This window comes from Homo sapiens, chromosome 19 (assembly GCF_000001405.40).
Source record: "Homo sapiens chromosome 19, GRCh38.p14 Primary Assembly".
Taxonomy (NCBI): domain Eukaryota; kingdom Metazoa; phylum Chordata; class Mammalia; order Primates; family Hominidae; genus Homo; species Homo sapiens.
The window spans coordinates 31,935,908-31,949,368 of NC_000019.10; the positions used below are offsets into that span (position 1 = coordinate 31,935,908).

Below are 13,461 nucleotides of genomic sequence, written 5' to 3' on the forward strand. Positions count from 1 at the left end.
TCAGCTGGAGCATTTCTTTGAGTTTTTTTAAATGAAGGGCACGTGGGTGGTATACTTCCTAAGTACTTTCATATTTCAAAATCTTCAAGGTTGTCTCAGGAATGATAGTCTGAGAGGATGTAAAATTGTGTTTTCAATTAAAAATAACCTCTTATTATTACAAAGGCAGTATATGTACACAGTAGAAAATTAGAAAATATAGGTAAGTAAAAGTAAGATAATAAAACCACCATATTTCCACTACTAAAGAGATTACCACTGTTAACACTCAGATGATGTCCTCTCAGATCTATTGCTATGCACATAGATGTGCATTTTATCAAAGTAAGATTATACTGTGTACATTGTTTTGCAACGTGCTTTTATTCAATAAATAAATGTCTACTTGTCCATGGCATTAAACTGTAATATCATTGATATGGTTTGGCTGTGTCCTGACACAAATCTCATCTTGAATTGTAGCTTCCATAATTCCCACGTGTTGGGGGAGGGATCTGGTGGGGGATAATTGAATCATGGGAGTGGTTTCCCCCATACAGTTCTTATGGCACTGAATAAGTCTCATGAAATCTGATGGTTTTATAAGGGGTTTCCTTTTTCACTTGGCTCCCATTCTCTCTCTTGCCTGCTGCCATGTAAAATGTGCCTTTTGCCTTCTGCCATGATTGTGAGGCTTCCCCAGCCACATGGAACTGTGAGTCCTTTAAATCTGTCTTCCTTTATAAATTACTCAGTCTCGTGTGTGTCTTTATCAGCAGTGTGAGAATGGACTAATACGACCATTAAATGCCCAAGCTGTACTCAAATTTCCCCAATTGTCTTTTAAAGTGAGTTTGCCCAAAATAGATGCAATCTGGGTGGCTATTCCCTTATTTTATGTCAATCTGGAACAAGCCCTTTTTCACGATGATGGTTGTTGAAAAGAGTGGGACAAATGCTCATCTTCTAGATTTTTCTACTCAGCTCTTTCTGTACCATTATTGAGAAGCAATCATCTTTCTGCAAATCTCTATATTCTGCCTGGCCTCCTGTCATTTAGCATTGCAGAAGCAAATTCAGATAGCAACTTAATTTCTGCCCCTTCTTCCTGACTTGTATTGTCTACTCTTGAACTTCAAAAATGTCATGGAGCACTATCTCCATGGGGAGCTGTTCATTAATTATGACTGGTTCTCAGGTAGTCAGTGAGCTTTCATCTAAAAGCTAAAGTTTTTATTGAGCTCAAATACTTTTTTTTGTTTTTTTGGTCTGCTCTGCTATTTCCTTCTGGAATTTCTAGCGCATGTGATTTGAATTTTCTGGACTTACCTCCTGAGCTTGTCTCCTTCCTGTTCTTTGATTCATTTTCATCTCTTTTCTCTGAGTTATAAGAAAGCATCTTCCAGTTCATGGATCTGGGAATGAACACAAGGGTGGAATTCTCAGTGTTAACACATGACTCAAGGGCACGGGTATTAGCAACTCCAAGCAGCATCCGTTGAGTTCTTCCCTGAATCAGGTTCTAGTCTGCACACTGCAAGGATCATCTCAATCAATCATCACATCAAACCTATTAGGCGAGGATTCTCACTAAACCCATTTTACAGATGATGAAACTGAGACACCTAGGGGATACATAACTTGCCCAATTACATGGCTAATAAGTAGTCAGCCTGGGATTCAAACCCAGGCTTCTCCTCGCTCTCTGCACTGCTGGGAACCTGGATTGGTCCCACCCTGCCTGTCTCACAGCCCTATTGCCCCCACCCCTTGTTAGTGGGCTCCTACTTAACTCCTTTCCAGGTAAATTGTTCATATGAATGCTGCCAATGATGGACAGGCACATCACTGGTCTGCCGCTTTGAGCTCTACATTTCATAGAAATGTTGTCAAACTGTTGTGATGTGGCTGGCTACCTTCCCTGATTTCCAGTGTGGACACAGATTTTCCCCTATATACATTCCCTTGGATATTTCCATGGAAAACCTCATGCTTAGTGTACCTTTAGAGGTTTCTTTATCTCCCCTACCAAAATGCAAGCCAGCATGACCATTCATTCCTATTCCCCATCACTCTCATTTATCCTCTTTGGTTTTGCAAGAAATTGACCCATGTAATGCATTCATTGTGGCCTTGCCTCACAGCCCAGCACCATACTGTCCAAGTGAAATGCCCTTTCCCTCATCCTCCCCATTGAAAATCCTTATCAACCTTCCATGGGCAGCTCAAATGCCAACTGGCCCTTAAAGCGCTCCTTCACCCCATTCCATGTCCTGTGTCCTCTCCTTCCTCAGATGTCCCTTAGGAACCTCTACTCCCCAGTGGCCTGCTCTCAGTCAGGATCCCAGCACCAAACAGATGGTGCATCCCAGGGAAGATAATCCAGAGAGAGTTTATGCACAAAGGGGTAGACTACAAAGTGATAAGTGTCTGTTGTCTGGACCTAACAGAAAGAGAGAAGAAGTCGTCCCCGGGGCCTGGAAGGAGAGAATCCTGCATTGTTTTGAGAATGGCAGAGACTTTCAGTCCAGGGAGAAACTACCCCAAGGCCATTGCAGAGGGAGAGAGACTCATCCGATGAAATACTCTCACCTCAGTCCCTCTCTTCCTCCCTCCAGGCTCTTGCCATGGTTCCCCTTTGTCAGAAAACAACCAGAGGGCATGTGGCCCAGCACCCCTTGATATAATCATGCACATCAGCCACCTGGGGCTGAGAACAGGGAGGAGAAAGGAAAGGGGTGAGTGCTGACAGGCAAAGGAAGGTATCAGCTACAGACTCTGCCACTTGCATTGTTCATGGTAATCATTTACATCTTAACTTTCCCTCCAGCTCTTGAGGGTGGGCAATATGGCTCTGCATTTCAGTACCCCAGTGTCTAGCACGGCAGTGGGTATGCAGCCTGAGCTCAGTGAAGTTGCTTCCTCACTCATGAGGAAGCAGTCACGTTATGACTTCCTCATTTGCTTTGTTATTCTAGAGGTGGAAAAGGGTGGCCTGAGTCATCTTAACTCCATTCTTGTGGGATTGTGAATTCTGTGGGATTGGGGGGTTGGGGGATTCTGGTGAGGCCGTGGACAGATTCTTTGCAACATGTATGCCTGGCCCTTTCGATGTGAAACCCTGCAGCTGGCGTCACCTGTGTTGCATTCTGAATGGGTGAGCCAACCCAGGCTCCACCATCTGTACCAGGCACAGGGAGCACCAGCAACCAGCCACTGCCTTGTGTCATCCTTGTATTCCTTCATCAATCGATGTGTTCGTTCATTTGTTAAGCACTCATTCAGCAGCTACTACATACAGCAAGGGTTCCAAACCCATATGGCATCATGGGAAACCATTCCCCACTCTTCTGGTAACAAATCTCACACATAATCCAGGCCTAATAGTGCTCATGAGAAGGTGAGAGAATGGGAACAAGAGGGAAAGGGATGGGCCTGAAGGAGCACAGCTAATAAGCAGCAAAGCACAGCTTGAGAGCTAAGTACACGCTAGCACACTGCCCAGACACACATCTCAGGGCCCCTGGAATAAAGGTGACTGTGTTCACATCAGAGTGAATGTGTTAATGAGAAGAAAGAGGGCCTGGCACAGCAACTCACTGTTCTAATCAAAGCACTTTGGGAGGCTGAGGTGGAAGGATCACTTGAGCCCAGGAGTTCAAGACCAGCCTGGGCAACATAGCAAGATCCTTGTCTCTATAAAAACCTCCAAAAATTAGCTGAGCACACTGGCATGTGCCTTGTAGTCCCAGTGACTCAGGAGGCTCAGGCAGCAGGATCACTTATCAAGTGAGGTTGAAGCTGCAGTGAGTCGTGATTGCCTGCCACCTGGGGTGATCATATAATTTGTTGTGTCAACTGGACCACTTTACAGACAGAGAGGTGTGTGGTTATACCACGAAAACAAGCATTTACCTTCACTGACCCAGACCAGTCAGTGTGTATGGCCACCCTACCAGAAGCGCCAGGCATACATGTTGCAAAGAATCTGTCCATGGCCCCACCAGAATCCCATAATCAATGGGAACACCAAGAAGGAAGTTAAGATGACTCAGGCCACCCTCTTCCACCTCTAAAATAACACACACAGAAAAATGTCATATCATGACTGCTCCGTCTCTCAACGCAACCTCACTCAGTCCAGGCAGCACACCCACCCACCACCATGTTAGGCACTGAGTACAGACACTTCAGCCTGGGCGACAAAGTGAGACACTGCCTCTAAAAAAAATAAAAGAGAGAGAGGAAAGAAGTCCTCCATTCTGGTGTTCGTGCATGGCCCCTGTAAGACTGGATAACTGGGAGGCCGAGGCGGGCGGATCACAAGGTCAGGAGATTGAGACCATCCTGGCTAACACGGTGAAACCCCGTCTCTACTAAAAATACAAAAAATTAGCCGGGCGTGGTGGCGGGCACCTGTAGTCCCAGCTACTCGGAAGGCTGAGGCAGGAGAATGGCGTGAACCCGGGAGGCGGAGCTTGCAGTGAGCCAAGATGGCGCCACTGCACTCCAGCCTGGGCCACAGAGCAAGACTCCGTCTCAAAAAAAAAAAAAAGACTGGATAAGGTCCTTGGCTTTTCTCAGTTTCATGATGTGACCACATCATGTGAGCTTGTGGCAGTGGAAATACGTGGTCAGGGAGGTGGGGCATCCAAGCAGGGGAAAGGGAGCATTCCCATGGCCAACCCACCCACACAGCCTCCACCCAAGGGCATCCCAGCTTGGAAACTGACTTTGGAAACACAACATGTGAGACTGTGATTTTGATTAGAATGACATGGATCTGAGACAGCTACATTTTTTCCCAAGGAAAAACTCTCTCCAAACAAAGGGTGAAAGAGAATCATTGTTTACTTATGCTCCATTCTTCTTAATTTCTGATATTCTTTTAGACAACTGCCAAGTCCATGCAGAAACAGCTCTTCTGATGTAATAAATGTAGACTTTGATCTGACACTCACCAAAGCCATTCTGAAGAATTTCAGAGCAGAACAACTTGAGCAACAAGTCATAAAATAGATGTGAGCCTTGACTTTATTTTTTTTAATTTACCAATAAACTAGGTCTCAAGAGTTAAAATGAGCTTTTTTTCCCCAGAAGTAAACACTTGTACACACTTTAAGTGACATTTTTTATAACATTCCTTTTTTTTTAGGATGAGCATAGAGTTAATACCCAGGAGCAAACGCATCACTGTTACTGTCCTTAGAACATGTGCTGATCACGGCCTTGGCTGCACACAGATAACCCTGAAACAGACTCTTTGATCTCGCTTCTCCCAGTCTGTAACTTTTTTTTTTTTTTTGAGACAGAGTCTCACTCTGTTGCCCAGGCTGGAGTGCAATGGTGCAATCTCAGCTCACTGCAACCTCCACCTCCCAGGTTCAAGCGATTCTCCTGCCTCAGCCTCCCGAGTAGCTGGGATTAGAGGCACGCGCCAGCACGCCCAGCTAATTTTGCATTTTTAGTAGAGATGGGGTTTCTCCATGTTGGTCAGGCTGGTCTCGAACTACTGACCTCAGGTGATCAGCCCACCTTGGCCTCCCAAAGTGCTGGGATTACAGGCTTGAGCCACCATGCCCAGACCCCAATCTGTAACTTTAAGTAGGGTTTCCAAGTCACCTGGGCCAATGCCTAAAATGCCTGCCACTTGAGGTGCATATAATTTATTGTGCCAACCAGGCCACTTTGCAGATGGAGAGGGGTGTTATTCACCAGGAAAACAAGCATTTACCTTGAATAGCCCAGACCAGTCAGCGTGTTCCACCATCCCACCCTGAAAAAAAGATGGCTACATCAGCGTTGTGTGTATTTCCACCAACCTGGTGGAGACCTCTTTATTCAGGGTAATGATACAGGAAAAAGGGCAGGGAGCGGTGTCCTGTGTGGGCCAGCAGTAGCCTCAGGTCCCCCCACTCCAGGGAAAGCAGAGCAATTGCAGAGTCCCAGAGACTGTGCCTGGGACCCCCACATGTGGGAAGACCCACCCATATTCCCTGGCATTCATCACTCGGTCAGTTTCCCCAAACACTGACCCAAAACCCACTCTTGCAACAATATTTATGAGCATACTTTCTCTCTCTCTTGCTTTTTGACATCAATTAAATGAAGTATTGGCTGCAACTAGTTTGTCCAGCAGTTTCTATGTCAGCGAATGATCTGGGTAAGGAGATGACTGGATAACTCTTCACCTTCATTTTCAGCTGAGAAAATGCCAGTTTACCATACGGGTCACATTCCTGGGGCCCTTGGCTAGGAAAGAGTGGCTCCATTTTGCACACCTCCCACTGTTTCTCAGTGTCTACAATGCTCAAATATGTGCAAAGGAGTAGCACTGTTATTCACATCATAATGGATACTAACAATAGTAGCTATTACGCGTGAAGCACCCATACTGGACCAAGCTTTGTACCAGGCACTTACTTATAACACTCTCATACCCCGATAATGAAGGTATATCAATCTCCAGCCTACAGAGAAGGACACTGAGGTTCAGAGAGGCTAACTGTCTTGCTCAAGGTCACACAGCTCAGCAGTGCTGGTGTTGACATCCCCCAGAATCTGCCAAAAGGTGAGAAATTTCAAGTCACACATTTGCCTTTAAAAATCAGTTTGCCTCCCAAGTAGCCTTGCAGATCACTGCTATTGGTGACCAGACTTTATGCAGGAGACGAGAAAACAGGTTTATGTCTTTCTCTGTCCCTGAACATTGGGGAGTGAGTTGGTAAAGAGCATGTACCCTAAAGAGTACAGCGTTTTTGTTCTGCCATCAATGAGTGTGCTCTTTAAAATATCCCATTTATTCACCAACATGGTGCTGGATAGGTCAAAATGCAAAACTAAGAAAGACAGCACAGGAACAATATATTTTTAGTGCCTTTTAATTGAAGTAATAATGAGAATTGTATCCACAGCATGCTCCAGCAGGTTTGCAAGATGTAGGTGCTCTGCCTAGATCCTCTGTGGACACTGCATACCTGAGGGCTAGACACGTTCTGATCATGCCTGCTAAGCCCCAAATCACAAAGGTTCCCCAAGTACCAGCAACTTGGAGGAAACCCTGGGAAGAACCTGGCTGACATCCTTAGCAGAATTTTCTGGGTTCCAACAACTGGGTTAGCAGAATTTTCTGGGTTTCTCTATTTCCCTTCCATTCCTCCTCTCTGAATGAGAGATCCTACAGAGTGAATATTTAAGGCTGATGTTTTCCACCCAGTGTGCTCCTGCAGCTTAGAAATGGACATCACGGCTTGAAAGACCAGGGAAAATAAACATAGGGCCGAATTGAGTGAGTCCTGGCGTGAGTCAACATGGATGCCCCATCCTCCCATTCTGAGCACAAAGGGTGCTTAAAACTTTAATGAATTGAACTCTATGAGTAAGGGATGTTAATCATTTTAATTACCCAGCAGCTTGAAATCAGATATAACAGTCCAATAATGTATCTTTAAACGAATACCACCCTGCCCTATAAAAAATCCCTTCCAAACCATTCTAATAATTTCTATTTATCTTTTCTGACGTTAACTGTTATCCAGCCCAGCCGGCCAACAGACAGCCTTCCCCTCACATTTGGTTTAAATGCAATGCCGTCTAGTTTTTCAATACCATTAGCGTCCCCCTGGTGGGCAGAGAGCAAGGCAGTGGCACCGGTCACACTTCACTGCTTTATCTCATATGACAAAGAGCGATGATACGCTTCAATCCAGGCCAGCCCGGCAGAGGGAAGGTGGCCACACAGAACTCCCCTTGCTGCCGAGAAACGCCCTCTGTGTGACTTACTAACAGCATGAAGGGGCAGACAAATAGATTTTCCTCTATATTTATAACCAGCATCATTCTTCCTTTCAGGGCGTTCAGTGCAGGTAGCTGTTTTATATGAAATGAACAATCTTTATAGACGTACCAGAGCCATAACAAGCCTGATTTTCAGCGAAGCTGAGGTATATAACTCTTACCGAATTGTCAGGCTGCTTGCTCAACAAATCAAGCCTAACTTATGATGTTTGCAGTGTAATTTTTATTCCTGTTTGACTAGCCAACTACCCAGTGGTAATAGGATGTTAGGAAGGGCAGTGGCGATGTTTGTGCATGCCGTGATTGATAGGCCGACTCGGCATTTTTCATTTATATCTCCAGATTCCAAATCAGTTAAGTTTAGGAAAAATGAAACAAAGTGGCAAGAAAAATGTTTGCAGATTGCAGACCGGCGCTCCTGCCGATCTGAGTTCAGCCCACATCTGCCGGGATTGTCTGGAAACATTAAGATATCTAAATGAAAATCAATACTATATGTGCCAGGCATTTACTACCAGGAACAAGCATCAAGAGACCTGAGCTAATCAGACTTCCAGCTTGTGCCTCAGCCCTAGACTGAACCCCAGGGGTGTCCTAATTGCCCAGACTAATCATAGAAGAGTTAAATTTATAACCAAGAAAGACATCTTGTTTTTCTTACCAGTCATCATTTAGGAGCGGAAAGGCTCACCTGTGAAGTGGGTGCCAGATGTACAGTGGGAGCCCCCATTCAAGAGAGGATGGCTTCTCACCTGTCAGGGGAAAGGAAAGACAAATTTACTGTCAGCAGTAAAACCAGTCAGGCTCATTGAAGCCCCAGGTGGGAGAGTATTCCATCAGCTCAAACACGCACTGCAGTTCTCCTCATTGAAACTCTCCCCACTTAACCCCCATGTTCTGGAACATGAAAGCCCCTTGCACACTTTGATCCATGGCCTGGTTTTTATTTTAAGGAAACCGCTCAGAAAAGCAGCTGGCATCAGTGACATTAAAAATATATGTATCTGTTTCTCCCTGAGTTCCACTCTGTGCTTTTTTGTCCCTTGGAGTCTCCAGAGGAGCTAATAACACTTGGCGACATGTATCTCCCTAATATACTGTACAAACAAGTCACTGATATTATTCACACTCCAACAAACTACAAAGTCACACAATAGCAATTGGACGAGCCCACACTATACTGCTGAAAAACCATAATGTATCAGGGGACTGGATTCCTAATATTTGCATTCTAGATGCCAACTGTGAGCATATTTTGTACTATTTTCAACAAATTACACCAAAATATGCAAAATGTTTATAAGGCTCCATCTTCTATTTTTGGCTCCGATATATTTGCAACTTAATAGTCCTTTAGAGATTTGTTTGTCTCCTTGGGAGAAACAGGAAAGTGGGAAATGAAAAAAGCAGAAAGAGAGAGGGAGAAGAGAAAAGAAACGAAGACACTTTGTTCACGCAAGTTGAGTTCTGCGAGTTTTTCGTAAAGAGCGGAGCCACTCTCCCTGGAGACCTTCTTCGACAAGAAATTTAATAACATTATTTGGATTCCTTGTGTCCCAGATTTCAGATGTATTTTTAATGCATGTGTCTTGAAACAAAACAACCATTGTCAAATGCTGTATCCTCTTCTCACCAGTTTAAATGGCTTCCTAGACAGCACGATTCTGGGAGCATCTTGAAAGTGGTGATCAATGAAAAACTGCGCCTTGCTCTCTGTGGCTTCCCAAGGATGTTCACCCCTTACCACAGAAGGTTGTCAGCTCTCTTCCCAGGAAAGGTGTCTCTGGTCCTTGTGATGTGAACGATGACAGCCTCTTGCCTTCTGTTCCATCATTATTGCCTCCACGCTCTAGCAACTGGGTGCAGGCACACATCTGTCTTTCTTGTCTTCAACCCTGTGATATCACCATCCCTGACTGCACTGTGCCTGTGTAGGATTAGGGCTGATCTGTTCAGCAGAATCCAGGATAGGGGAGATTAAAATGTACATGGGTTGAAGAGGGCAGCAGTTTTCCTGATGCTGGATTACACAGCCAAGTTGAAAACTTTTCAATCCAGCTTCTCCCACTGGAAAAGGTGTCAGACAAAAAACTAATTTTTTTCTAACGTTATGCCTAATGAACTTAACCCAGCTTAACCTAGAGATTGGGCCTCATGCCCTTGGTTCCTAGAACCAGTTTTCCTAACAAGACTGAAGCTTCAGCCGAATTCATTACTTACTCAGAATGAATAAAGCCAGAGGAAAAGATATTTCATGAACAAATCTGTGTTCTTAGCTGGGCTTCAAGGTAAAAAAAAAACAAGTGAAAAAGAGTGCCTGGCTTCCCATGTCTTTGTACACACAGCAGGCCCTCAAAATGCATGTGTAGGTTGGATAAACCAACACATGGTGGATGAACTGGGAAGTCACTTGAGTTGGACGTACACTCAAAAAAAGGTAAAGAGACCAGGCACGGTGGTTCACGCCTGTAATCCCAGTGCGTTGGGAGGCCTAGCGGGGAACCAGGCTGGGGGACGAGGGTGGGGGGATAGCTTGAACCTAGGAGTTAAAGACCAGCCTGGGCAACATGGCGAAACCCTATCTCTAAAAATTTTAAAAATTAGCCAGGCACAGTGGCACATGCCTGTAGTCCCAGCTACTCAGGAAGCTGAGGCAGGAGGATTGCTTGAGCCCAGGAGGTGGAGGCTGCAGTGAGCTATGATCATGCCACTGAACTCCAGCCTGGGCAACAGATAGAGACCCTGACTCAAAGAAAAAAAAGAAGAGGTACAGAAGCATATTCAAATGGAGAGACTGAGGCAGAAAGGAGCCTCAGGACACATCAGGCTTCAGGCTTTCCTCTAGGAACACTCCACTGCTCTGCACACCAAGCTTGGAATCAGAGGCAGCCAGACCTTGATTTGCCCCCAGGACAAAAGCCAACAGCCTACGGCTGCTGGGCAGGATGACTTCAAACTCATTCCTCAGCCAAACAGGGCCTCTCAGGAAAGCAGGCTTGACAAAGCTAGGTGTGGCTCTCAACTCAGGGGAGCTGAAGCCTTCACAAGCCCTACGTCCTGTGTCCCAGCTCCACAGTCCTCATGGGACCTGCTCCTGTGGTCAGGCTCACGTGCACAGTGGTTGCTGTGAAATAGCCTGTGTGGTGAGAAAACTCCTGGGGTCTCAGCTAGAAACGCTGACTGGGGTTGCAGCTTTTCCAGCTGTGTTGATGGCCAGGCTGGGAAGCCTGCTAGAGGCCAGGGAGCAAGGCAGGGCCACCCAGACAAAACAGTCAGTGGAGATCTCACCCAGGGAGCCCAGACAATTCACAACAGAAACAGAGCTGCTGCTTCCTGAGGGCTTTCCACGTGCCAAGCACTATTCCTGGAGTTGTGTGTATTTTAACTTGATCAATCTTCAAAATGGCCCGGCAGGTGGACCCTATTATTAGCCCACAGGGGAGATGAGTAACTTAGCTGCAGTCACAAATTGCTGAGGGACAAAATCAGGGTCTTGTCCCTGTAGTCAGGTGTGGAGTCCATGCATTTTGCAGAAGGAAGTCTCCGGGGGGGCTCAGGAACAGAGGCCCTGCCTAAGTAGGTAAGATGGCAGAGAGTGGACCCAAGGTAGAAATCAGATCATATTTATATGATTCATAAGATAAATAATAATACTACCATAAAGCCACACTCAACAAAAAACTTTAATATGGAGGCCAAGCCAGAGCTGAGCTTCCTTAAGTGAGATCCATAGAAGAAGGAGGCTCAAACGGAAATGCAGTTGAAATAATTATAAGATAATCACTTGGGGGCATTCGGCAGTGGGACTCACTTGGGCTTTATCCCCCGTTCTGACACTGACCAAAAGAAACAGCAGTCAGTTACCAATGGCTTTGGCTTCGTCTCTGGTATTCCAAAACCCTGTGCTCTGACTGTCATCTCACAATCAGAAAACCAGAAAGACAGCTGCTTGCCACTCCCAGAGCCTGCCTGCCCAGCGCCCTGGCCTCCTCTGGGACCACCTGTGCACCCCTACGTCACCATCACAGCCCAGCAGAGTGAAACTTCATCAGCAATATTTTTCACAAGACAGAGGCCACATTTGTAAAGTGACCCTTCTTCTGCCTTTTGGCTCTAGAAGAGAAAGGGGCGAGAGAGCAGAGGAAGGACGAGGGGATGTTCACCCTGCGGACTGAGTCAGGAGGAGGACGTGACTTGTTTAATCCTAATAAATCAGAGCATCCCCGGGAGGTGGAAGCAACAGGGGTTGGTGTGCCAGCCGCGCTGCACATTGACCCAAGGCAGAGCTCGTGGAGAAATGATGTCCTCTTAAGCAGACTCCTGGAGAGATGGTCCGCATTTCTCCTGACAAATTAGAAGCGCCGTGAATGCAACCATTCCTCAGAAAATAGGCCTGATTTAGCAATGCACAAGCTGCATTATCTCGCTGCATAAAAAGACCATTTAAGCAGGGAAGCCTTTAGGACACTGGCCCTTTGGAGAAGCAGTTCTGAAATATTACCCACCTCGACTGCCACCTAAGCCAGTCACTCCCCAAGGGAAAAGCCACATTTACAACCTAGAAAACCAAGCAGGCTTTAGTCAAAGGAAAGGGTCATTTGTCTCTGGTATCTGCATGAGATTTCTTGTGCCCCTGTCCTGCTCAAGCCCTCACCTCACCTCCAGTGGCCAAGCCAAGTGGAGAGCTACTGTATGGGGAATACCAGTTTCATCCTATCCAAGGTGTGTTGCCCTGTTCATGGCAGCCAGAGCCTTAGCCAACCCGTTGAATACCAGAGCAATTACAAAGCAGATCTGGTGACAACAATGCTAAAAAGTTGAAATAATTCATTTGCACAAAGTGTGCATGTTTGAAAACTTTTCATGCAAAGATTACAACCTGTCATTATCTTCCCCAGAGACGCACTACCTTCTTAAAAAGTATCTCTAATGAGATCTACAAATCTGTTGAAGACAGCTTACTTTATTGTGTTTGTAAAGATAAAAATGTTTTAAATAGGTTATGGCTCCTGGGACTGACAGTCCCACCATGAGGGTAAGGTCATTTTGAAATGTTAATAAAAGTTTTCATAAAATATGACGGCGCTCAAAGAGTAATGTTTGGATGTAAAAATAACTATAAAAGTATAATTTCTACCAGGGTACACGTGCAGTTTTTCTGTGTCAAGATATTTGCCCAATTTCTCATTTGACTGGGGTTGCAGCTTTTCCAGCTGTTTTGACGGCCACACTGGGATTCGATCCTTATTAGAGAGGTTTGCAGCAGGCTTTCCGAGGCTTAGCCGGTTATATTAGACTTTCCCTTGAAGCAAAGTCTTGCACTGCCCTGACCATTATGCAAATACGCAAGCACTCAGCCTAGGATTGTCTCAGCTTGCAGTAGACATCGCTGTCCTCCCACCATAGGAGCAAGACAAGCAAGACTGGTAAAATCAGCAGGGAGGGGGACCCTGGGGGCGTAGCCTCATAGCTCCCAGTTCCTGGGCTAGTCAGGGGGAACATGCCAAATTGGAAACATTCAGCTGTTTCCTATTCAATGAGCTCCTTCGTATTTGAAGTTAACCAGCCCAAAGGAAATATCTCAGAAGGATTTTCTAGGTGATGAGATAACTAATGAGACCAATCCGTCCTCTCTGTTTGCCGGATCCCATTGACTCAAATCAACCCCGATATTTCTATTAAGGC

General features: G+C 45.7%; 1 long non-coding RNA gene across 24 annotated transcripts in view; it reads right to left on the reverse strand.

Moving 5' to 3' along the window:
• LINC01837 (long intergenic non-protein coding RNA 1837) overlaps positions 1 to 13,461 on the reverse strand; it is a 234,720-nt gene that overhangs the window by 98,528 nt on the left and 122,731 nt on the right. For 16 of the 24 annotated variants that reach the window (XR_007067222.1, XR_007067219.1, XR_007067217.1 and 13 more), the window contains 4 exons: positions 8,468 to 8,528; positions 6,403 to 6,540; positions 5,714 to 5,755; positions 1,309 to 1,394 (listed from right to left, as the gene is read on the reverse strand). This is a non-coding gene — a long non-coding RNA (long intergenic non-protein coding RNA 1837). Of the gene's footprint in view, positions 1 to 1,308; positions 1,395 to 5,713; positions 5,756 to 6,402; positions 6,541 to 8,467; positions 8,529 to 9,409; positions 9,562 to 13,461 lie in introns of those variants that run through there. The other 8 variants (XR_007067218.1, XR_001753925.1, XR_002958401.2 and 5 more) reach the window with 8 other exon arrangements.